The 2,424-nt window shown below is 37.7% G+C and overlaps 1 annotated feature.

Moving 5' to 3' along the window:
- Window positions 484-1,135: an enhancer, noted in NCBI's record as "OCT4-NANOG hESC enhancer chr6:9456335-9456986 (GRCh37/hg19 assembly coordinates)". NCBI's record gives its function as "activates a minimal SCP1, AML or CMV promoter by ChIP-STARR-seq in primed H9 embryonic stem cells {active_cell/tissue: H9 hESC(primed)}" and the evidence as "EXISTENCE:reporter gene assay evidence [ECO:0000049][PMID:30033119]".

Here is a 2,424-nt window from a genome sequence, read left to right as displayed (position 1 = left end):
GTTACTTTAAAATTTGAACCAAATTTGAAAAAGAAAATAAGAATTAAGAACATTACCATCTGTACTTTAGAAATCAAAAGTCATTAATTTCTATTATTCTCCAAAATGTCAGTTTATCCAGTGTGCTGTGACAGAATCTGTGTATCCATTATCTATCCCATTAGGACTAATGAGACCTCATTTTTTTTCCTCTCCCTAAAATCAAATCCAAGGACCAAGTGGCTGTGTTTTCATGAGATTCTCTTTCCAATGGGATTGTTTAAACATTCTGTATGGGGTAAGAACGTTTCCCACCACCCAAGCACCCCCGTTTATTCTTTTCTCCAGAGCCCTGCTTGGGGCGCACCATACACAGATAATATTAAAGGAACAAGGTCAACGTGTCACCTGCTTTTATTTATTTATTTTTCTTTTGTGCTCAACAGATTGTTGTCCTCACAATGGCACACTGGAGGAACATGAGCCCTGCTTCCTCTTGAGATGTCTTGTTGTGAGATATTAGAATAGCAAAGGGCTCATCTATGCATCCTTGGGGTGGGGCGGGGGAGGAGGGGACCATTTCAACCCACATTTCACACTGCAGTCATCAATTCATTGGCTTAAAAAAGAGAGGGAGAAAAAAAGAAGCCTGCTCTGTCCTTGTGCAGCTGCGGCAGGCAGGAGCTGGAACATATGCCTGTCTGAAAGAGGACGAGCTGGGAAGGCTTCTCAGGAGAAGGCACACAAAGAAAGCCAATCTTCTCCACAAAGCGTGGAATGACTTAAACACTCTATTGTATTAAATATGAATGAGCCCTCATTGTGGAGCACAGTGTGTGGGGACCCATGGTGTCCTCCCATTAGCCACAAGATTAACCAGATTACACGGGAAGCTGCTAAGGTAAATAAAGCCAGCCTTCTGTCACTTCCTCCCCCAGGCCTGGCCAACAAGGGGCTGAAGAGCTGGCCCCTTTGTAGTCAACTGGGTGGAAAGAAGAAATAACCATGAATGTCATGCTTGGTAATTAAAAAAAGAGAGAGAGACAGACAGAGAGAGAGAGAGAGAGAAAGAAAGTTGTCTCCAGGGACTATCTATGAGAAACAGTGTGAAAACATCTTTCTGATCAACTAACATGTCAGTATTGTTCCCTTTGACCAGATAGGACTAATCTAACCCTCCCCTAAACAGGAGCCTGTATTCCCTTTTGTGGTTCAGGGACAAAAACCCCCACAAAACGTGAATTAAAGCTGCCTGATTCTGCTCATTAGGGGTGAGAGCGGATCATTCTGTGCCTACAAATCTGCCTGCCTGTTAACCCTCTTCCATCCCTCTCTACATGTGGGTGCCTCTTCCCTCCACTTCTGCACTCCTGCTCGTTCTTGTGAACAGATAAACGACCGTGGTTAATTGGTTTATGGAAATTGCACCAAAGTTACAATTCTCATAGCAGCTTGAGCCTTAAGAAAATGCAAGGAAATGGGAACCACTTCTGCTGGTACCAATGAGAGAAATAAACATTATCTGAATTCTAACCTGATATACAAATAGCTGATGTGTAAGATGCCTTGTGAAATATATTTTCGTTTCTTGACATAATATTAAAGTGAAATTTTTTTGTGACTCATATTTAAAGTGATATCTGTCTGAAGACTAGTGCTTACTTAATGACAAATAAAAGCCTGGATTTCTGTTAGTGGGGAAAAAAAACTTCAATGTCCAAACAAACCACATAGACATAGTGGCTGAGAAACAGAATGGTTTGGTAAATTAAAGTACAAATGAATAAAAATTTAAGAATTTATTTTGGCTATCTTTAGACATTTCAAATTAAGCCATATTTTAAATAAGTAGAAAGGCTAGGTATTATACCTCTGATAAGCATAAATCCATGGGCAAAACATTTTAAACATAGCATTGTGAGAGGTAACCATTAATTTCTGTTTTTATATAATTTTTGTCTGCCTCAGAGTTGCCTTATTATTGAAAATATAAAATAATTAGTATTTTCCCCAAATTTGTTTACTGCTGTTGACCCCTCTCTAAAAAGTTTATAACACCTACGTAAGATGTAAGTCCATCTGACATAAAAACCAAAAAACTGGTTTCCAAGTTCCCTTTCAGAGTAATATAAGACACACTAATAATTTGAAGAACTCTTTGCAGTATTTTTTAAATAGATATATAGAACCTTATGTATACTGATCTTAATTTTAAAATATAATTATTCATCTTCTACAGTGCTTTTTCTCCTAATCATAAAATTATGGGGGTAGAAAGACATTTACCCCAAATGATAAGAGCAAAATTCCACATTGAGAAAAAGTTCCTAATGTTCTAACAATTCAGGCAAATGTTAAATAAGGTATGAAAAAAATTACCAATTAAACAAATGAAATAATAGAGCTTTTGTTATTAATTGAACAATTCATCGATTCAGGGAGTTG

This window comes from Homo sapiens, chromosome 6 (genome assembly GCF_000001405.40).
Source record: "Homo sapiens chromosome 6, GRCh38.p14 Primary Assembly".
Taxonomy (NCBI): domain Eukaryota; kingdom Metazoa; phylum Chordata; class Mammalia; order Primates; family Hominidae; genus Homo; species Homo sapiens.
Note: the sequence above shows the minus strand (reverse complement) of the source record. Positions and strands in the feature narration are given on the sequence as shown.